Source organism: Homo sapiens, chromosome 2 (genome assembly GCF_000001405.40).
Source record: "Homo sapiens chromosome 2, GRCh38.p14 Primary Assembly".
Lineage (NCBI taxonomy): Eukaryota > Metazoa > Chordata > Mammalia > Primates > Hominidae > Homo > Homo sapiens.
In genome coordinates, this window is record NC_000002.12 from 84,655,628 (window position 1) to 84,678,870 (window position 23,243).

The 23,243-nt window shown below is 39.6% G+C and overlaps 1 protein-coding gene across 14 annotated transcripts in view; it reads left to right on the forward strand.

Annotated features, from left to right (window-relative positions):
* The window catches only part of DNAH6 (dynein axonemal heavy chain 6), a 360,018-nt gene that overhangs the window by 196,056 nt on the left and 140,719 nt on the right, over positions 1–23,243 (forward strand). For 13 of the 14 annotated variants that reach the window (XM_011532650.4, XM_011532649.3, XM_006711956.3 and 10 more), the window contains 6 exons: positions 2,665–2,847; positions 3,399–3,542; positions 13,662–13,883; positions 14,701–14,848; positions 16,700–16,857; positions 21,378–21,509. In XM_011532650.4, the coding sequence (XP_011530952.1) occupies positions 2,665–2,847; positions 3,399–3,542; positions 13,662–13,883; positions 14,701–14,848; positions 16,700–16,857; positions 21,378–21,509 (987 nt within the window). The remainder of the gene's footprint in view (positions 1–2,664; positions 2,848–3,398; positions 3,543–13,661; positions 13,884–14,700; positions 14,849–16,699; positions 16,858–21,377; positions 21,510–23,243) is intronic. The other variant, XM_017003524.2, reaches the window with a different exon arrangement.

The following is a 23,243-nucleotide window of genomic DNA, read 5'->3' on the forward strand; positions in this document are numbered from 1 at the left end:
TGGCTACCTTAAGATTTTTAACTTTTCTGAATTCACTTTTTTAAAAATTAACAGACATTTTTGTGCTTAGGGCAGTTTTAAGTTTATAGAAAAATTGAACAGAAATGAGAGTTCCCATGCACTCCCTCACCCCCAAACAGTTTCGCCTATTATTAACACTTTGCATAAATGGTGAACCACTATTGATACATTATTATTTTACATTAGAGTTCACTCTTTGTGTGCAATTCATGGGTTTTGAAAAATGCATAATGTCACGTTTCCACCATTATAGTATCAGGCAGAATAGTTTCATTGCTCTAAAATTCCTCTAAGCTCTACATATTCATCCCTACTCCCCATCCTTTAACCCCTGCAACCACTGATCTTTTTACTATCTCTGTAGTTCTACCTTTTCTAGAATGTTATACAGTTGAAATCATATAGTACATAGCCTTTTCAGACTGGCTTTTTTTCACTTGGTAATATTCATTTAAGATACTTCCATGTCTTTCTGTGGGTTGGTAGCTTATTTCTTTTTAGCATTGGATAATATTTTTTGTATGAATGTACCACAGTTCATGTACCAATTCACCTACTGAAGGACATCTTGGTTTTGGCAATTATGAATTAAACTCTTAATAAGCATTAATGTGCAGGTTTTTGTGTGGACATAGTTTTCACCATATTTGGGTAAATACCTAGGAATGTGGTTGCTGAATTATTTAGTATATGTTTAGCTTTGTAAGAAACTGTCAAGACTGTCTTCTAATGTGGCTGTATCATTTTGCATTCCCACCAATAATGAATGAGAATTCCTGTTGTTCACATCCTTGCCAGCATTTGGCATTGTCAGTGTTTTGGATTTTATGCATTCTAATGGGCACGTAGTAGTATATTGTTTTAATTTGCAATTTCTAATGACAAATGGTTTGAGCATCTTTTCATATGTTTGTTTGCTATCTATGTATCGTATTTCATGAGGTGCCTATTAAGGAAGGTCTTTGGCCCATTTTGAAATTGGGTTGTTTGTTTTCTTATTGTTGAATTTTAAGAGTTCTTTATATATTTTGAATTCAATTCTTTATCAGATTATATCTTTTGCAAATATTTTCTCCTAGTCTATGGCTTGTCTTTTTATTTTCTTAACAATACTCCGGTTTCTCTTCAGATTGTATAAATATTTCATCTTCTATTCTCTTAACAGTGTGTTTCACAGAGTAGAAGTTAATTTTAATGAAATTCAACTTACCAGTTTTTTCCCTCATGGATGGTGCCTTTGGTGTCATACCTAAAAAGTCATCACCAAGCCCAAAGTCATGTAGATTTTCTCCTGTTATCTTCTAAAAACTGTATATTTTTTGCTTTACATTTATAATCCATTTTCAGTTAATTTTTAGGAAGGGTATAAGGTCTGTGTCTAGATTTGTTTTTTTGCATGTGTATATCCAGTTGTTCCAGCACCATTTTTTGAAAAGACTGTCCTTTCTCCATCAGATTGCCTTTGCTTTTTCGTTAAAAATCAATTGACTGTACTTATGCAGGTCTATTTCTGTGCTCTCCATTCTGTTCCATTGATCTACTTGTCCATTCTTTCAACAATAACCCACTGTCTTGATTACTGCAGCTGTATAGTAAGTCTTGAAGTTGGGTAGTGTCAGTTTTTCAACTTTGTTCTTTTTTGTTGTGTTGGTTATTCTGGGTTTTTTGCCTTTCCATATAAACTTTAGAATCAGTTTGTCAATTAATCCACAAAGTAACTTGCTGGAATTTTAACTGAGATTGTGTTGAATTTATAGATAACATCAGAGAAATTGACATCTTAAGACTATTTAGTCTTCCTATCCATGAATGTGGTATTTCTCTCCATTTATTTAGTAGTTCTTTAGCTTCTTTCATCAGAGTATTATAGCTTGTCTTATATAGATCTAGTACATATTTATAGTTAATTTATTTTGGCACTAATGTAAATTGTGTTATATTTTTAATTTCAAATTCCAATTGCTCCTTGCTGGTGTATAACAAAATGATTGACTTGTATATGTTAACCTCATATCCTGCAACTTTGCTATAATTACCTATGAGTTCCAGTTTTATTTGTTTTGTTTTGTCAATTTAGGTAGATTTTCTACATAGACAATTATGTTATTTGTAAACAAAGACAGTTTTACTTCTTCCTTCCCAATCTGTATACCTTTTATTTCCTTTTATTGTCCTATTGCATTAGCTAAGACTTCAGGACAAAGTTGAATAAGAGTAGTGAGAGGGGCTGAATTCACTTTTAAATATTTGGAAATTATTTTTCTACCTTACATAGATACTAAAATGTTGTCTTCTGTGTTTCTTCTTTTTCATTGTTAATAATTGTGAAAGAACATCAGTATAGAAGAGTGCATGAAATATGTATTGACAGCTTAAGAAATAATTATGAAATTAACACCTCTGAACCCATTGCCAGACCAAGAAATAGAACACCATCAACTACCCATAATTTCCCCCATGTATCCCTTCCCAGTCATAAAAGGTTTCCTTAAAATTTAATTTGTTTAATATGTTGTGATAGTTATAGCCTTTGGTCTAAAGGTCACTGAATATATAGAAATATCCAGATTTTAACCAACCTAATTCTAAACTTAATTATATATTTATCAGGTCTTGCTAAACTATCATTTGTTTCATTTTCAGCTGACTGAGGAAACCCAAGAATATATATTGAATCTTTTCCAACGTTATGTTGATGAAGGTTTACATTTTATCAATAAAAAGTGCAGCCAAGCAATTCCACAAGTGGACATCAGCAAAGTTACTACACTCTGTTGCTTATTGGAGTCCTTGATACTTGGGAAAGATGGAGTTAACTTGGCAATGGTATGAAGAGTTTTCTTATTGCTATGAAGCTAGAAAAATTAGATTATTGTATAAGTTCTTTGCAAAGAAATGACTCCATTCTAAAATATAACCATTTGATTTTTAAGTTAATTTTTCAGGGGACTAATAGCTATGATGTCATTCTTAGAATCTCAAAGCTACAAGTAATGTTAGCATGTATAGTTTATTCCTCTACTCAGTTTTGAATTCTCTTACAGTCTACAACATATTCCCAATACAAGATATTCTCAATCTGCTTACATACCCTCATGCAGGCATTTAAAAAGTTATAATAATCAGTTGAAAGACAAACTTGGACTTTTTTTCCCTACATATTCCTTCTCATTCATTTTCTCATCAGTGGTTATAATGTATAACTATAAGAAAACACTACTCTGTGAACCATTGAGTGAAGTATAAGAAATATACACTGTGCCCATTTAAAAATGTGTGAGTCTAAATGAAAGAAAAATATCTTTACACTTTGCAGCTTAGGATTCTTTTTATGTTCATATATAAAATATTAAGTCTGTTTCTCTTTATTCTTTCAGGAACAAACAAAATTGAACACTATACTATGTCAGACTTTTGTATTCTGTTATTTGTGGTCTTTGGGTGGAAACCTAACTGAAAACTACTATGATTCTTTTGATACATTTATTAGAACACAATTTGATGATAATCCTGATGCCAGGGTAAGAACCAAATAAATTATATTTTAACATAATAATTCTGAATTATTTAAATTTTAAGATTAAAACTTTAAAAGCTTTAGTTCTATTGAAAATATAACTTATACACTAAACTGGTTCCTAAAATTATTCATGTTTTTCCAACCATAGACAACATTTATCATATTTTTTAAGTTAGGAGCCCTCTCCCAGTCATATTAAAAAAGTAAGATGTATAAGTATATAAAAACTCTCTACTGTAAACAAATATTGAATTCTAGTTAGTAAATTTATTTTTCACAGTGTGAAAGTAACAGTGTGATTGGTTAGCTATCCTGAATTGCTGGAATGTACTTGCTATATATTCTAAGATTGACTAAATAAGTAAATATGTTGAGAATAATGGCAATGAATTTCTCACTGTTAGAGAAGGGATTTACAAATATGTATGGAAGGAGAAAAATTAGAATGCACTCTGTTTTATTGGATTGGTATTGCAGGTCTCAGTACTCATTGATATTCAAAATGTTAACATACATGTAAATGTATGAAAATTGCCTGGGCACATGGCTTACACCTGTAATCCCAGCATTTTGGGAGGCTAGGCAAGAGGGTCACTTGAGGCCAGGAGTTTGAGACCAGCCTGTGCAATATAGCAAGACTCTGTCTCTACAAAAAATTTTTTTAGTATCCAAGCTCAATATTGCACACCTGTAGTTCTAGCTACGTAGGAGGCTGAGGCAAGAGGATTTCTTGAGCCCAGGAATTTCAGGCTGCACTGAGCTATGATCTTACCACTGCACTCTGGCCTGGGCAACAGAGCAAGACTGTGTCTTTAAATAAATAAGTAAATGTATGAAAATTGATGTGTGTATACATACATGTAAATTTTCCAGTCCATGTGCTGAAAAGAACTAGACACAAAGACACCTTGATAGCAGCAATGAGCATATCTAGTATACTTATTTTTAAATACTATTGTCATCCTCCACTAAAGAAAATGAGAAATTCTTAGTAAAATAGTTGATTTCAAGACTGGATCAGGGAAAATACAAAACAACTATTTTATGTTGCATAGTAAAAAAGTGCTCAAAGAATGATGTGACATGTCAAAAGAACACAGAAGGCAGTTTGAAGAGACTTCCACTGGTCAAAAATGGATAGATTTAAGCATCAAAATCAATAATCATAGTATAGGATCATAACCCTTTTAGTAAAATAAAAATCTGTAAGTCCATACTCATAATAAAAATATGCATGACTATGTAAATAAGTAGAGAAGAAAGAAAAACTCTTTCTTATGGCTAATACCAACTAACCTATGCAGAAGGAATAATGGATAAAGTTAGAAAGTCATCACCTTGCAACCATTATTGTAATAATTGATTTAGGCAGGAATCATCAATGAATACTAAAATTAGTGGGTAGAGGTTTCATGATAAGCAGTATTTACATAGTTTCTAAGTATTTACTTAAAAAAAAAACTTGCAAACAGCACCTTAGCTACATGATCAATTTAATTTAACTAGCATCAAGGCAAACCTGTGCCTGCTTCCTGATATGGGGCACTGTGAAAGATATAATCTTGCTTCTGTGATATTTATTTCAAAAATGTATAACTCGATTCTAATCATGAGGTTACACCTGGAAAACCCAAACCAATGAATATTTTATAAAATAAACTGGACTATATTCTTCAAATATATCTATGTCATAAGAGACAAAGTTGAGAGACTTCTCTGAATAAAACAAGACTAAAGAGAGATAATTAAATGCAATGTATGATCCTGGAATGGATCTTAGACTTGGAAAAATATAGCTATAAATTATATTATTGGAAAAAATGGCAATATTTGAATATAGAATGTAAATTAAATAATAATATGTCAGTATTCAATAAATTTTATCACCTAAGTATTTTTTTAATATGTCCTTTTGTCTTCATCCTTGCTGCCTTTGGATAACCCAGGTTCTTATCATTTCTTTCATGGGCTATTAAAATAGCCTATTTATTGTTCCTTTTGCTAGAGTCATATCTAATTCACCCTCTCTACTAGTAATCTTAAAATTAAAGGTCACAGTCTATTAACTGGTCATGAAATCAAGTGAAAGGGTCACAACCCAGTTTTTAAAAAGGAAATATCCTCTATTACAACTTTTAGTAAACACTATATTGGAGAGTCTAGCCAGTGCAATAAGGCAAGAAAAAGAAATAAGACATACAAACTTTGGAAAGGAAGAAGTAAAATAGTCATTATTTGCAGAAAAAAATGACTGAATATGTAGAAATACCTAAAAAATCTACAAACAAATGATTACAATTAATAAGTACATTAGTAAGGCCCTTGGATATAAGGTCCACAAAGAGTTAACAAATGAAAATTTGAAAGAATACCATTTATATAAGCAACAAAATACCAACTACTTAGGAATAAAAGTAATGAATGATGTGAAAGGCCTCTACTGAAAATTACAAAACATTGTTGAGAGAAATTTTAAAACATCTGTATAAATGGAGAGATATACTATGTTCATGGATTGAGATACTATTATTAAGTTATCAGTTCTTTCCAAAATATTTTGAAGATTTTAGGCAACTTCAATCCCAAAATCCCAACAGATTTTTTCCATGAAATCTGACAATCTCATTCTAAAATTTATATAAAAATGTAAAAGATCTATAACTGAGATAATCTTGAAGGAACACACATTTGGAGGACTTAACTACATGACTTGAATAATTCAAGACAATAAAACAGCAGCAATTCAGAGTGTGGCATTGGTGAAAGGATATCAAATAGACAAACTAGTATTGACAAAGAAGTGGAAGAAAGAACCCTTCTGAGGTGCTGTACATGTTCTATATTTTAATCTAGGGTGGTTATATTGATATTTACATATATGAAACTCTCTAAAATGGACTCTTAAAATTTGACAAAAAAGGTTATGTTATACCTTGAGGTTTAAAAAAAAAATAGAACAGAAAGTAGAGTGAATTGAGGAGGTTCCAAGATGGCCAAATAGGAACAGCTCCAGTCTACAGCTCCCAGCATGAGCAATGCAGAAGATGGTTGATTTCTGCATTTCCAACTGAGGTACCAGGTTCATCTCACTGGGGCTTGTCGGACAGTGGCTGCACCCCATGGAGCAGGGTGGGGCATCACCTCACCCAGGAAGCACAAGGGGTTGGGTAATTCCCTTTCCTAGCCAAGGGAAGCCGTGACAGGCAGTACCTGGAAAATCGGGACACTCCCACCCTAATACTGTGCTTTTCCAACGGTCTTAGAAAACGGCACACCAGGAGATTATATCCTGCACATGGCTCAGAGGGTCCCACGCCCACAGATCCTCACTCACTGCTAGCACAGCAGTCTGAGATCGAACTGCAAGGCAGCAGCAAGGCTGGGGGAGGGGTGCCCACCATTGCTGAGGCTTGAGTAGGTAAACAAAGTGGCCAGAAAGCTCAAACTGGGTGGAGCCCACCACAGCTCAAGGAGGCCTACCTGCCTCTGTAGACTCCACCTCTGGGGGCAGGGCATAGCTGAACAAAAGGCAGCAGAAACTTCTGCAGACTTAAACGTCCCTGTCTGACAGCTTTGAAGAGAGTAGTGGTTCTCCCAGCATGGAGTTTTGAGATCTGACAGCAGACAGACTGCTTCCTTAAGTGGGTCCTTGAACCCTGAATAGCCTAACTGGGAGATATCTCCCAGTAGGGGCCGACTGACAGCTCATACAGCTGGGTGCCCCTCTGAGACAAAGCTTCCAGAGGAAGGATCAGGCAGCAATATTTGCTGTTCTGCAGCCTCTGCTGGTGATACCCAGGCAAACAGGGTCTGGAGTGGACCTCCAGCAAATTCCAACAGACCTTCGGCTGAGGGTCCTGACTGTTAGAAGGAAAACTAACAAACAGAAAGGACATCCACACCAAAACCCCATCTGTACGACACCATCATCAAAGACCAAAGGTAGATAAAACCACAAAGATGGGGAGAAACCAGAGCAGAAAAGCTGAAAATTCTAAAAATCAGAGCACCTCTTCTCCTCCAAAGGAACACAGCTCCTCGCCAGCAATGGAAGAAATCTGGATGGAGAATGACTTTGACGAGTTGAGAGAAGAAGGCCTCAGACGATCAGTAATAACAAACTCCTCCGAGCTAAAGGAGGATGTTCAAACCCATCACAAAGAATCTAAAAACCTTGACAAAAAAGATTAGACAAATGACTGACTAGAATAAACAGCATGAAGAAGACCTTAAATGACCTGATGGAGCTGAAAACCATGGCACGAGAACTACGTGACACATGCACAAGCTTCAGCAGCCGATTCTATCAATTGGAAGAAAGGGTATCAGAGATTGAAGATCAAATGAATGAAATGAAGTGAGAAGAGAAGTTTAGAGAAAAAAGAGTAAAAAGAAATGAACAAAGCCTCCAAGATATATGGGACTGTGTGAAAAGACCAAATCTACGTCTGATTGGTGTACCTGAAAGTGACGGGGAGAATGGAACCAAGTTGGAAAACACTCTGCAGGATATTATCCAGGAGAACTTCCCCAACCTAGCAAGACAGGCCAACATTCAGATTCAGGAAATACAGAGAACGCCACAAAGATACTCCTTGTGAAGAGCAACTCCAAGACACACAATTGTCAGATTCACCAAAGTTAAAATAAAGGAAAAAATATTAAGGGCAGCTAGAGAGAAAGGTCGGGTTACCCACAAAGGGAAGCCCATCAGACTAACAGCTGATCTCTCATCAGAAACTCTAAAAGCCAAAAGAGAGTGGTGGCCAATATTCAACATTCTTAAAGAAAGCAATTTTCAACCCAGAATTTCATATCCAGCCAAACTGAGCTTCATAAGTGAAAGAGAAATAAAAATCCTTTACAGACAAGCAAATACTGAGAGATTTTGTCACCACCAGGCCAGCCTTGCAAGAGCTCCTGAAGGAAGCACTAAACATGGAAAGGAATAACCGGTACCAGCCACTGCAAAAACATGCCAAATAGTAAACATCATCGAGGCTAGGAAGAAACTGCATCAACTAACGAGCAAAATAACCAGCTAACATCATAATGACAGGGTCAAATTCACACATAACAATATTAACGTTAAATGTAAATGGGCTAAATGCTCCAATTAAAAGACACAGACTGGCAAATTGGATAAAGAGTCAAGACCCATCGGTGTGCTGTATTCAGGAGACCCATCTCACGTGCAAAGACACACATAGGCTCAAAATAAAGAGATGCAGGAAGATCTACCAAGCAAATAGAAAACAAAAAAAAAGCAGGGGTTGCAATCTTAGTCTCTGATAAAACAGACTTTAAACCAACAAAGATCAAAAGAGACAAAGAAGCCCATTACATAATAGTAAAGGGATCAATTCAACAAGAAGAGCTAACTATCCTAAATATATGCACCCAATACAGGAGCACCCAGATTCATAAAGCAAGTCCTTAGAGACCTACAAAGAGACTTAGACTCCCACACAATAATAATGGGAGATTTTAACACCCCACTGTCAACATTAAACAGATCAACAAGATAGAAAGTTAACAAGGATATCCAGGAATTGAACTCAGCTCTGCACCAAGCAGACCTAATAGACATCTACAGAACTCTCCACCCCAAATCAACAGAATATACATTCTTCTCAGCACCACATCGCACTTATTCCAAAATTGGCCACATAGGTGGAAGTAAAGCACTCCTCAACAAATGTAAAAGAACAGAAATTGTAACAAACTGTCTCTCAGACCACGGTGCAATCAAACTAGAGCTCAGGATTAAGAAACTCACTCAAGACCGCTCAACTACATGGAAACTGAACAACCTGCTCCTGAATGACTACTGGGTACATAATGAAATGAAGGCAGAAGTAAAGATGTTCTTTGAAACCAATGAGAACAAAGACACAACATACCAGAATCTCTGGGACACATTTAAAGCAGTGTGTAGAGGGAAATTTATAGCACTAAATGCCCACAAGAGAAAGCAGGAAAGATCTAAAATTGACACCCTAGCATCACAATTAAAAGAACTAGAGAAGCAAGAGCAAACACATTCAAAAGCTAGCAGAAGGCAAGAAATAACTAAGATCAGAGCAGAACTGAAGGAGAGAGAGACACAAAAAACCCTTCAAAAAAATCAATGAATCCAGGAGCTGGTTTTTTTAAAAGATCAACAAAATTGATAGACCACTAGCAAGACTAATAAAGAAGGAAAGAGAGAAGAATCAAATAGATGCAATAAAAAATGATAAAGTGGATATCACCACCAATCCCACAGAAATACAAACTACGATCAGAGAATACTATAAACACCTCTACACAAATAAACTAGAAGATCTAGAAGAAATGGATAAATTCCTGGACACATACACCCTCCCAAGACTAAACCAGGAAGAAGTTGAATCCCTGAATAGACCAAAAACAGGCTCTGAAATTGAGGCAATAATTAATAGCCTACCAACGAAAAAAAGTCCAGGACCAGACGGATTCACAGCTGAATTCTACCAGAGCTACAAAGAGGAGCTGGTACCATTCCTTCTGAAACTATTCCAATCAATAGAAAAAGAGGGAATCCTCCCTAACTCATTTTATAAAGCCAGCATCATCCTGACACCAAAGCCTGGCAGAGACACACACAAAAAAAGAGAATTTTAGACCAATATCCCTGATGAACACTGATGCAAAAATCCTCAATAAAATGCTGGCAAACCGAATCCAGCAGCACATCAAAAAGCTTATCCACCACGATCAAGTGGGCTTCATCCCTGGGATGCACGGCTGGTTCAGCATACACAAATCAATAAACGTAATGCATCATATAAACAGAACCAGTGACAAAAACCACATGATTATCTCAATAGATGCAGAAAAGGCCTTCAACGAAATTCAACAGCTCTTCATGCTAAAAACTCTCAATAAACTAGATATTGATGAGCTGTATCTCAAAATAGTAACAGCTATTTATGACAAACCCACAGCCAATATCATATCAAAGGGGCAGAAACTGGAAGCATTCCCTTTGAAAACTGGCACAAGACAGGGTTGCCCTCTCTCACCACTCCTATTCAACATAGTGTTGGAAGTTCTGGCCAGGGCAATCAGTCAGGAGAAAGAAATAAAGGGTATTCAATTAGGAAAAGAGGAAGTCAAATTGTCCCTGTTTGCAGATGACATGATTGTATATTTAGAAAATCCCATCGTCTCAGCCCAAAATCTGAAGAAGCTGATAAGCAACTTCAGCAAAGTCTCAGGATACAAAATCAATGTGCTAAAATCACAAGCATTCCTATACACCAATAAGAGACAAACAGAGAGCCAAATCATGCGTGAGCTCCCATTCACAATTGCTTCAAAGAGAATAAAATACCTAGGAATCCAACTTACAAGGAATGTGAAGGACCTCTTCAAGGAGAACTACAAATCACTGCTCAACAAAATAAAAGATGACACAAATGGAAGAACATTCCATGCTCATGGATAGGAATAATCAATATTGTGAAAATGGCCATACTGCCCAAGGTAATTTATAGATTCAATGCCATCCCCATCAAGCTACCAATGACTTTCTTCACAGAAGTGGAAGAAACTACTTTAAAGTTCATATGGAACCAAAAAAGAGCCCACATTGCCAAGACAATCCTAAGCCAAAGGAACAAAGCTGGAGGCACCATGCTACCTGACTTCAAACTATACTACAAGGCTACAGTAACCAAAACAGCATGATACTGGTACCAAAACAGAGATATAGACCAACGGAACCGAACAGAGCCCTCAGAAATAATACCACACTTCTACAACCATCTGATCTTTGACAAACCTGAAAAACAAGAAATGGGGAAACAATTCCCTATTTAATAAATGGTGCTGGGAAAACTGGCTAGCCATATGTAGAAAGCTGAAATTGGATCCCTTCCTTACACCTTATACAAAAATTAATTTCAAGATGGATTAAAGACTTAAATGTTAGACCTAAAACCATAAAAACCCTAGAAGAAAACCTAGGCAATACCATTCAGGACATAGGCATGGGCAAGGACTTCATGTCTAAAACACCAAAAGCAATGGCAACAAAAGCCAAAATTGACAAATGGGATCTAATTAAACTAAAGAGCTTCTGCACAGCAAAAGAAACTACCATCAGTGTGAACAGGCAACCTACAGAATGGGAGAAAATTTTTACAATCTACCCATCTGACAAAGGGCTAATATCCAGAATCTATAAAAAACTTAAACAAATTTACAAGAAAAAAAATCAAACAACCACATCAAAAAGTGGGCGAAGGATGTGAACAGATACTTCTCAAAAGAAGACATTTATGCAGCCAACAGACACATGAAAAAATGGTCATCATCACTGGCCATCAGACAAATGCAAATCAAAACCACAATGAGATACCATCTCACACCAGTTAGAATGTCAATCAGGAAACAGCAGGTGCTGGAAAGGATGTGGAGAAATAGGAACACTTTTACACTGTTGGTGGGACTGTAAACTAGTTCAACCATTGTGGAAGACAGTGTGGCGATTCCTCAAGGATCTAGAACTAGAAATACCGTTTGACCCAGCCATCCCATTACTGGGTATATACCCAAAGATTATAAACTCTACTGCTATAAAGACACATGCACAAGTATGTTTATTGCGGCACTATTTACAATAGCAAAGACTTGGAACCAACCCAAATGTCCATCAATGATAGACTGGATTAAGAAAATGTGGCACATATACACCATGGAATATTATGCAGCCATAAAAAGGGATGAGTTCATGTCCTTTGTAGGGACATGGATGAAGCTAGAAACCATCATTCTGAGCAAACTATCGCAAGGACAGAAAACCAAACACCACATTGTTCTCATTCATAGGTGGGAATTGAACAATGAGAACACTTGGACACAGGGTGGGGAACATCACACACCACGGCCTGTCGTGGGGCGGGGGGAGGTGGGAGGGATAGCATTAGGAGAAATACCTAATGTAAGTGATGAGTTAACAGGTGCAGGGCACCAACATGGCACATGTATACATACGTAATAAACTTGCACGTTGTGCACATGTACCCTAGAACTTAAAGTATAATAATAAAAAAAAACTTTGATTCTGGATAACAATAAAAAAAGAAAGTAGAGTGAATTGCACATAGTAGAGGTAAATATTTTACATGTTTGTAGATACACATATGTATGTATTTACAGAGTCACAATGAAAAATGAATTTCTTACTAAAAGTCACTGTCAAATGACCTTGGAGCAATATTGCTCTGTACAGCTGCCAGGATGAAACTTCTGAAATGCAGTCTGATTATGTTACCTACCTGCTTAGAATCCCTCACTGGACTGTTGCTCTAAGATTTTTAATAAGTAAAGCTTTTGATAATTTGATCCATCTGTATTTCCAGCCTCATCTCACTGTATGCAGCGCTCTCATGCTTCCCAGCATACACCATATTTTCCATGGCATCAGACTTCTAATCCTGTTTTTTCAGTCTGAATCCTGAACCCCTTCTTTCCCACCCCATGCCATCCCTTTTTTGCCCATCTGACTCCAGCGTGTTCTTCAAGTCTGAGTTTTAGCATTACCACCCATGGAAGCCTTCCTGAATCTCTAGCCATCACCATAACTCCCCTGCAAGTAGAAATGAGCCATCCCTCTGTGTGTGTGTGTGTGTGTGTGTGTGTGTGTGTGTGTGTGTGTGTGTATGATTGTAATAAACTCCTTTAGAGCCCTTATTTCCCCATGGGTATTAACTGAAGTGCTTATGTCCCTCAGGGGGATTACCAGGTCATTGAAGACAGAGGCTGGGTCTCATTCAGCACTTGTCCTCAGCATCACAGACAGTATTTGGCATGGCGTAAGCCCTGTGAATGTTAAATTTAATTAAAAAGCTATACAATTCTGACATGGGTTTTAATATAATCGGTATAACAGATATTTCCATGCATTGTGTTGCATGATTTTGTTTAAATAACTAGTCTCAGATACCTAAATAACTATGTATCTACAAAGGAAAAAGAAATCCAAATCCAGTTAGGTTTTTTGACTGCCTTTTTTTCTATGTGAGTGTATCTACTACTGTGTGTCAATATTGCTTATTCCCTATTGAAAGTGGTGTTTAATTTTGTACTTTAGCTTCCCAATTCTGGTGATCTGTGGAGCATTCATATGGACTTTGACACCAAACGGCTGGATCCCTGGGAACGAATCATACCTACTTTCAAATACAACCGAGATGTTCCATTTTTTGAAATGCTTGTCCCCACAACTGACACAGTGCGCTATGGGTATCTAATGGAAAAACTACTGGCAGTCAAGCATTCCGTGTTGTTTACTGGAATAACTGGAGTGGGCAAGGTAGGAAACTTACATCAAACAAGAAGTCCTCTCCAAATGTGAGGGCATGATGGACTTAGAATCGTTAGCACCAGAAGTAATATTATTTCTGAGAGGAATTTTGTTTAGCGTTTAGCACTTTTGCAGGAAGAATATTATGCTGAATCTATATTGATCCTGGGAATTGTTCCAAAGTTTGCCAGTTTCTGAACACATTCTTGGAGTTGATACTATATGAATTAGAGGGCCAGCGTTTGTGTTTAGGGGCTTTTATGCTTTATCCCTTGGTATTTTGGGGGCTGCCACTGCACTGGTTGGATAAGAATTGGGCAGAGGAGTTTGCATGCCCAAAAGACAGTTGATAGAGATCAGCTCATCCCCTCTGGCCTGTTCACTTATACCTGATACAGCAGTGGTATCCTTGACTATTTGGGGTTTTTTGTTAAAGTAGAATGGAGGGAGGAATATTGATGATTTGGGCTTCTTGGTTTTGGAGAATCCACGTAAACAGGACTTCACCGTTTCCCCAAAAAAATATTCTAAAAGAAATTTGGATCTTTCTATGACTCTTTCCATATATTGGCTTGAAGAGTAGCCAAGATGGATTTTGGCATGAAACTAAATTAAAACTTTTTGCTAAGATAGTGCTGATTAGAATATCTCTTTGGTTCTGAAAAATATAACTAAATGGAATCTCCAGTAAGAGAAAGCAGACATTTCAATCTGGCTTTAACCTCTCTCTTTTTATCCTGTTTCTTACTCATTGTGCCAAACTATTACAGATATAACTGAAAGAGGTTATATTCATGTGACATTAATTAACTTATTTTAATTTAAGTCTGTGATTGCAAAAGGATTGCTAAATAAAATTCAAGAATCAGCTGGCTATGTCCCTGTTTATCTAAATTTTTCTGCTCAAACTTCATCTGCAAGGACACAAGAGATCATTGAGTCAAAACTGGAGAGAAAAAGAAAAAATATTCTAGGTAAGAATCATTATTTTAGTTTGTCCCACACAAATTATTCATTAAGCTAATAAATGACATAAATAGTGCATGTAATAAAATGACAGTTGGATATTTTATTTGCTTAATTTACTTGTAAAGGTGATTCTGTTCATGGCATTTTTATGCTAGCTATGTAGATGTCTTAGTGTTGCCAAGCAAGTCATTTATTTCTGTCATCACCTTCAACTCAGAACATCTTCAATCTCTGCCTCTCCATGGCTCTCCCTCTCTCCACCCAGGTTCTTCCAACATGCACTGATTTCCCCTTATTTAAAATAAACAAACCTCTGTATATTTGGCACATTGGGTTATCTGAATTCAGTGAGGAATAAGTATGAGACTGTTTTGGTTTTTTCTTCAGTCAGTACTTTCAGCCAGGTTTTGTGGAAGCTTCCCCACCCTCCCTTATTAACTGCTTAGATAACTAGCATAACTTTCTGGTCACCTTCAGACATTTGGAGTCTGGGCCAGTCTAAGCCTCAATCCAATACCCAATTCAAAGTTCCTCCTCTCATCTGTCCTAAGCCAGGTTTGTGGCTCCAGGTACGTATGGGAGGTGAAGGGGTCATGGGATGCTCTTCACTCCTCCCCACCCTCCCTGTAGGAGGCTGGAGTATGCAGGGAATGGGAGGAGAAGAAGGAAAGGACAAGTTTCTTCTCCCTAGCCAGTGTTCAGATGGGCCTCTCTGTGGCTGGTCCCTGCTTCTCTAGCTGGCACTGAGTGGTGTCTATGCTGTCTGTGAGGCAGGTTTTCAGGAGTGGGCTCTTGTAAGCAACTCCCAAAAGAGCTGTTTGCAAGCCAGGCATTGACCTTATCACTGGAAGTTTCCCTGAGGGTGGGAGTCAGGACCTCAGCCCTCACTCTCCAGCAGTCCATCTGCACCCTCTTGCAGCTGGGGCCCCACTTGCTCAGTCCACAGTCTCTGGGGTGGTGCACCAGCCAGGGCTCAGGCTTGGCTGCCTCCCACATTGCCCACCATCCAGCAGGCCCTGTCATGCCAAACAATGGTGCTGCCAGCTGCTTCACTGCCTTCTGTCTCTGTCCCCTCTCTCCTGCTTAGGTAGGCAAAGGGCAACAGATGCCAGTCTATTTTCTGGTGGGGGCCCCAAATTCTTACAAAGGTTTATCTTAGACCCCTTCCTTACCCCCCACCCCTTCCTGCTGCTTGGCTTCCAGGGGGCCACAGGATGGAGTGGAGCACTCAGTTTGCCTTGGAATCACCTCCTGTAGTAATCCCAACCACAAGGACATGGCTATTTGCCCATCGGGTTTCTCTTTCCTCTGCTATCACTCATTCCTTTTTCTAATGAGTGTGTATATTCATTTAAATGTGGCATTGTGCAGCCCCACTGCACTGGATTTCCCTTTGATGTGATCAGGATGCTTTTGAATATCTAATCTGGTTTCCCTGTGAGGGTACTGTGATGACATTTATGAAAGGAAACTTTGGCATTCTTCCTCTTCCTACTATGGAAAGAAAATGATGTTCCTCATTCATGCCTAAGCCACATGGTTGCTGAGGGCAGTGAGTGTGGCTGAGACAGAGAAAGGTTCACTCCTTGCTGGAGAGAGGCCACCATCTTGTGCCCTGACAGTGAGGATAAGGGGCCACCTGGCATGACAACGTGGACGTCTTGACCAGGACCACATCTTCCTGCAGGGGCCTGGGTGGGGCCAGAAGGAAGTCTCTCCTCCTCCAGGCAGGACTCAGAACTGAGCTCTTTATGACCTGTAGGATGTCATTGAGTCCAAAGTCATACCCTAGCTTTGTCTTACATTTTCTAAGGGAAAATCATAATTCTTAAATTAAATTCATTTTATTTCCCTAGGAGCACCGGGAAACAAACGAATTGTGATTTTTGTTGATGATTTAAACATGCCCAGACTGGATCGCTATGGCTCTCAGCCTCCGATTGAATTACTTCGGCAGTATCAAGATTTTGGGGGATTTTATGACAGAAACAAACTGTTTTGGAAAGAAATACAGGTTACTTTAGCTTTTAAATTACTTGGTGTGCTTAAATTTAAATGACAAGGAAATATGATGTATAGTTTGTGAGACTACCATAACAAAGTACCACAGATGGGGTGGCTTACACAACAGAAATTTATTTTCTCATAATTCTGAAGACTAGACGTCTAAGAACAAGGTGTCTGCAGGATTGGTTTCTTCTGAACACTCTTTCCTTATGTCTTTACATGGGCTTCTCTCTGTGTCTGTCTGTGTCCAAACCTCTTCTTATAAGGACACCTGTCATACTGGATTAGGGCTTACCCTAATGGCCTCATTTTAGCTTATCTCCTCTTTATTTGGACTATCTCCAAATACAGTCACATTCTGAGACCCTGAGTTAGGACTTCAACATATGATTTGGGGACAGGGGACACAATTCAGTCCATAACATGTGGCCTCAGTTTTTCCTCCATGTAATTCAGTGTATTCAGTCTATATTGAGTTTTTGCCATGCTTGGTTCAGGAGATCCATGAACAAGTGAAACAGTCCCTGCCTCCCAGAGAGCTTCAGAGGGTGGACAGACATTTCTAATGCAGAGTGGTGAGAGGGGAGAGACAGGAGGGATTCAGGGGTGGGGCTGGGTTGAGGATGGGAGAAGCCTCCCAGAAGTGATGGATTCTGAAGGCATGCATGCCAAAGCAGGGAAAGGGAGCGTTTTACACCCCAGAAGCAGGGAATGTAAAATACTACGGTGGTGTGAATTATGAGCACCAAACCAACAGGAGAGGCAGAGGTCACATCCCATGGTGCCGTGGGCCCATGAGGAGGAATCTGGATTTATCCTGTAAGTGCTGAGGAGCTGCTGAAGGAAATGTTATGGAAAGATCCCCTTGGCTGCAGGGGAGGGATGAGCTAACGAGGAGGCAAGACCAGAGGCAACTGCAGTAGCCTAGAGGACAAGAGATGAGGGTCGAGCCTCCTGTGCTAATGTGTGTGGTCAGAAAGGTTTAGAAGCCAGAAGGCAGATCAGCAGGACTGGTGGTGTGTTAGTCAGGGTTCTCTAGAGGGACAGAACTAATGGGATAGACATATATACATAAAAGGGAGTTTATTAAGTATTAACTCACATGATCCCGACGTCCCACAATAGGCTGTCTGCAGGCTGAGGAGCAAGGACAGCCAGTCCAACCTCCAAAACTGGAGAACTTGGAGTCCGATGTTCAAGGGCAGGAAGCATCCAGCATGGGAGAAAGATGTAGGCTGGGAGGAAGATGTAGTCTGGAAGGCTAGGCCACTCTCTTTTCACACTTTTCTGCCTCCTTATAGTCTAGCTGCATGGGCAGCTGATTAGATTGTGCCCACAATTAAGGGTTGGTTAAGGGTGATTCTGCCTTTCTCAGCCCACTGACTCAAAAGTTAGTTTCCTTTGGCAACACTCTCACAGACACACCCAGGATCAATACTTTGTATCCTTCAATCCAATCAAGTTGATATTCAGTATTAACCATCACAGGTGGGGTATAGAGTCAAGAGGGAGAAGGGGGAACCTAGGTTAACTGTCCCATTTCTGTTCTGGAGAAAATTTCTGTTCTGGAGAAACCAACACCCTTGACAAGAAAAGGGCGGGGGGCATGTTTCGTTTTGCTCACAATAAAAACAAATAATTGTACCAGGCACTATTCTAAGGATTTCCCACCTACTAGCACCCAACATCCCTACAAGATGGATAATGCTATCAGCCCTGTTTTATAGATCAAGAAATAGACCAAGAGTATGGAGTAATGTGACTGGTCCAAGGTCACACTACTGGCAAGTGGCAAAACTGGGATTAGAGCCCAGGCCATTTGGCTGCTGAATATGTGATTTCAGCTAAGATTCCTCCCTGCCCCCATTGCTAAGCTCCAGTTCCCTGGGAAATCCAGGTAGAGCACTTTCTGTCTATCAAAATGAGAGCTTAAACAAGGCATAAACATTCTTTGAAGTGAAAAAATAAGATGAGTGTAAGAGGCAGAGGGATAAATGGAGACTGAAGAGAGGGTCAGGCTGTGCAGAGGTGAAAACTGATGGGGTCACAGGTAGTAGGTCTCGAGAAAGGGGCCTTGGTCACCAACACAGGGAGCCCCGGATGCAAGATGAACGCATATTCAGTTCCTGGGAACTTTATCTTTATAAACAAAGCAGTCTTTTGCATATAAGGCTTTTTACTTTCCAAATAAGTTTATCTAACTTTATCTTCCCAACAACGCAGTGAGGAGAGAATATCACGTGCCCTTTGCAGGTTTAGAATTCCCCTGACTCAGTGCCATGGGGATGAGGGTGGGAAGGGAATGACTGCCAAACCTCCCACCAGGCCAGCGCTCAGTGGCTCCTCTCTGCCAAACAAATCACATGGAAATGCCTCTCCCTGGCACTCTGAGGCTCCCACATATGGCTGTGAATGGCTGCTCTGATCCGAGGGTCTTTTGCTGCTCCCTGCACATGCCCCACAGTCCCACTGAGGCATAAGGCTTGCTGTCTTCTGAAGGCACCCATATCCCCCACGGCATGCCTTTGTGATGGTGTCCTCTACCTGGAAGGGCCCTGCTCTCCAGCTCTTCCCTTATAATCTTCCTACTCCTTCAAGGCCCATCTCCAAATAGCCTTGCTCACAGGGCCTTTCCTTAAACCCCCATTTCCAGTGTGAGCTCCTCTTTCACCCTCATGGAGCACTGTGTGTCTTTATGGCCTTCACATTCTTTCTTGAATCAGAGCTGTTGATGTGCTCATCTTGTGTTGCATTCCTTCATGTTAGACTCTGAGCTCCTGACCTCCATCTCCCTCATTTTTATGGCCCCTGCTAAGCTTAATACCTTGTATATAGTAAGCCGTTGTTTATTGGAACTGATTCACGTAGAGACAGGGACTTGTCCACCTCAAGCCTTGGTGCTTTAGATCTGGGATCAAGAGTGCCTTCCTCTTGGTCTTCAGATTCTTCTTCCTACCAAAGGAATTGGCACACACTCTTCCCTTTGCCAGAAATGCACCTGCTTCCTTCACCCCTATGGCCTTGTCTTCTGCTACTATCACCTTCCAGCTCTCCACTGCAAGTGCCACTTCCTTGGCCAAATCTTCTCTGACTCACAGACTAAGTTAGGTTCCCCCAACAAGCATTGCCTCAACATTATATCCCTTTCCTTCAAAAAACTTACTGTGATTTATATTGCAATTTTGTTTTATTTTATTTTGAGGTAGGGTCTCATTCTGTCACTGAGGCTGGACTGCACTGGCACAATAGAGGCTCACTACAGCCTCAACCTCCCAGGCTCAAGCAATCCTCCCACCTCAGCCCCCCGAGTAGCTGGGACCACAGGCGCATGCCACCATGCCTGGCTAATTTTTTGAATTTTTAGTAGGGACTGGGTTTCGTCGTGTTGCCCAACCTGGTCTTGAACTCCTGGACTCAAGTGATCCGCCTGCCTCAGCCTCCCAAAGTTGCATATTTATTTTTAAGAACATTGATTTATGGTATTAACCTCTGTCCTTCCCACTAAAGCTGCTTTAAGACGGAATAGGTGGCATGTTCTCTCCATTAGACCCACAGGGCTTTTGCTTTCCATTTAACTCACAATAGCCCAGGCTATTTGTGGATTCCATGTTTGAAGATTCTCATGCTCACAAAATTTATTTGTAACTGCAAAATCAATATTCATAGCACTTATTCTGTCCTTTGCAGACATGTATGGAGTGGCAAAAAATTCTAGCTGTCCAACCCACAGTTCCCAGATGAGGTGGAACAAGACAACACTCTGCCTTCTTTTTCAGCTCCCATGCTGTAAACAACTGCCCTTTTCGCAGTCTACTTGAGACCACACTTTCACATTTTTGTGCCTTCTGTTGGTGATTTTGCTATGTAAAATGGCCCAGTTGTGGTGCTAAAGTGCTGTCTACTATTTCTAAACACAAAAAGGCTGTGATGTGCCTTACTGAAAAAAATGAATGAGTTTGATAAGCTTCATTTAGGCATGACTAATAGTGCTGTGGTCCATGAGTTCAATGTTAATGACTCAACAATATAAAATAAGGCATTTTAAACAGAAACACACATAAAACAAAGTTATAGATTGGTCGGTTGACAAAAATGTCATCACCAGAGACTCACAGAAACCTAACCCTAGGAGCAGTGGTTCAGTAACCACTAATCCAGTGCTCCAGCCAACTTTACTAAACTTAACTACCATGAATAATGAATATTTGTTGAAAGAATGGCTATGTTTTATCTTCAGATAGCAAAGTTTTTAGGATTACAGTTTCACATAAAGGTATTTATACAAAGTAGATGAATTAGCTGAGTGACCTTGAGCAACTTACTTAACCATCCAGGGCCTTGGTTTTTTAATCTATAAAATAGGTGTAATTATAGTGATCTCTTGGAGTGATTGTGAGAATTAAGTCATTTAACATGCACAAAAAAAAATGTAATGCAATGCTGGCATTTGGGAAGTCCTACCATTAGGATAGGCAGGTCTCATTTCATTCTCTGCTGAGTGATCCAAGTGGATTTCTCTGCACACAGGATGTAACAATCATATCGGCATGTGCACCTCCAGGCGGTGGCCGCAACCCTGTGACTCCCCGCTTCATCAGACACTTCAGCATGCTGTGCCTCCCAATGCCCTCAGAGCACAGTCTGAAACAGATTTTTCAGGTGAGTGTCGATTTTAACTTAGGCAACAGGAGGAAAAGAAAGCATATTTGTTCCAAGGCTCCCACAATCAAAGTGGTGTCTTGTGTTTCTAAGGAGTCCATCTATCCGTCTCTTTCCTGAGCAGGAAGCAGGTAAATATGGACTCCTGGAGAGTAGCTGGCAGGCATTTGCATCACTGCCTTCTGTATCTGTTGGTCTCAGAGAGTTCTAGAAATGCAGAAAGATTGTGCAGACAAAACCCCTACCTTTAGAGAAGGCTGCATCTTAGGTCCCTGCCACTTAGCACTCCACACACAGTTCTTGGCAGATCTCATCACTACCCAGCCCCTGCCTTTGTGCTCATCTTATCCCTAACCACCAGGTCTGCGTGTCCACTTGCCACCAAACTTGGCACCTGATATGCCAGAGAGCTCAAGCTCAACACACCTAAAACAGAACTCATCTCCTTGGCCACTCTCGCTAAGAATGATAACCTATCTTTTGTCCATCTGTACTCACTTCCCTAATAGGCTACTTCCCCATCCTTTATATGGGAAAAATAATAACACCTGCCCTACAAGTGCTCAACAGATTGAGAGGCATTATTTTGAGTAGAACAGTAAGAGAATATGAAGCAGCATGACTAAAGCCCCGCATAACCAACCTGCAAAGGTTGCTTAGAGAAGAGAGATTGTGAGCTGAGTCTTGGGGATGCTGGGAATTGACAGGGAGGAACAGATCTTAGGAACAGGAAGTGCTGGGTGAACGCAACTGCAGAGGCAGGAAATGGTAAGGTGGGCACAAAGGTAGAATAAGACAGTTCAGGTGACTGGCCTGGAGAAGCTGATGACAGTGACGTGGACAGTGATGCCCAAGGATGTGGCAATTAAGTGAACCTCCACATTCACCAGCATCAACTTCTTCCAGTAGAAGCCCTCTCTCAAGAGGGACAGACCCCGCATGTATACAACCTTCAGTACATGGAAAGGAATTTTCTGTTTGTATTGAAATAGCTTATTTCTGTGGGAAATTATTTTTAATAAATTGAAGTAGTTCCAATAAGCTGTTTAGGAGCTAATGCCAAAATGGTATATAAAAACTGCCACATTTTGAAAAACTTTCGGAGAGTGCTTTAGAAAATAGGAAAAGATGGGAGCTTCACTCCTATAATTAAGCACCAGAGTATAAAACAAGACATAACAGCAACCACCAAAGCCATTAGAAGGGTTGTCTAAGGCCTGCACACTTTTTTGAGAACTTTTATATTTATATTTTGAAGTTTGAAGTGAGTGATTCCCAACCACACCACAGATACACTGTGATGTGGTGAGTGGTGAGGGGTGTCTCAAGAAACTTATGCCTGGTTAGAAGAGACTGAATTTGCAATTTATTTCATTTTTTATTAAGTTAAAGCAAATTCAGGTTTATGACTACAAAAACATCGTTCTTCATCATTCCAAAATGGAATGATTTCCATTTTGTGGGTGGGAAGAATACAGTGAAGCCTGGGCCACTGGGAAAGACATGGTCCCCAACTCTCAACCTCCTGTGGGATTATCATGTCCATGGAAATGTGTCACCCATGGGAACATCATCCAGCAAGCACATCATAGCTAAAAACTGGCTGTGATAAGGCTGCTTCTTCCCACTGTAACTTTACAGGTTTACATTTAAAACCCACACTAGCTATAAGGGGAAATAGAAATGATATGTGGCAAAACTGAGAGATTCTGGGGGCTACCAGGTTGGACTGAA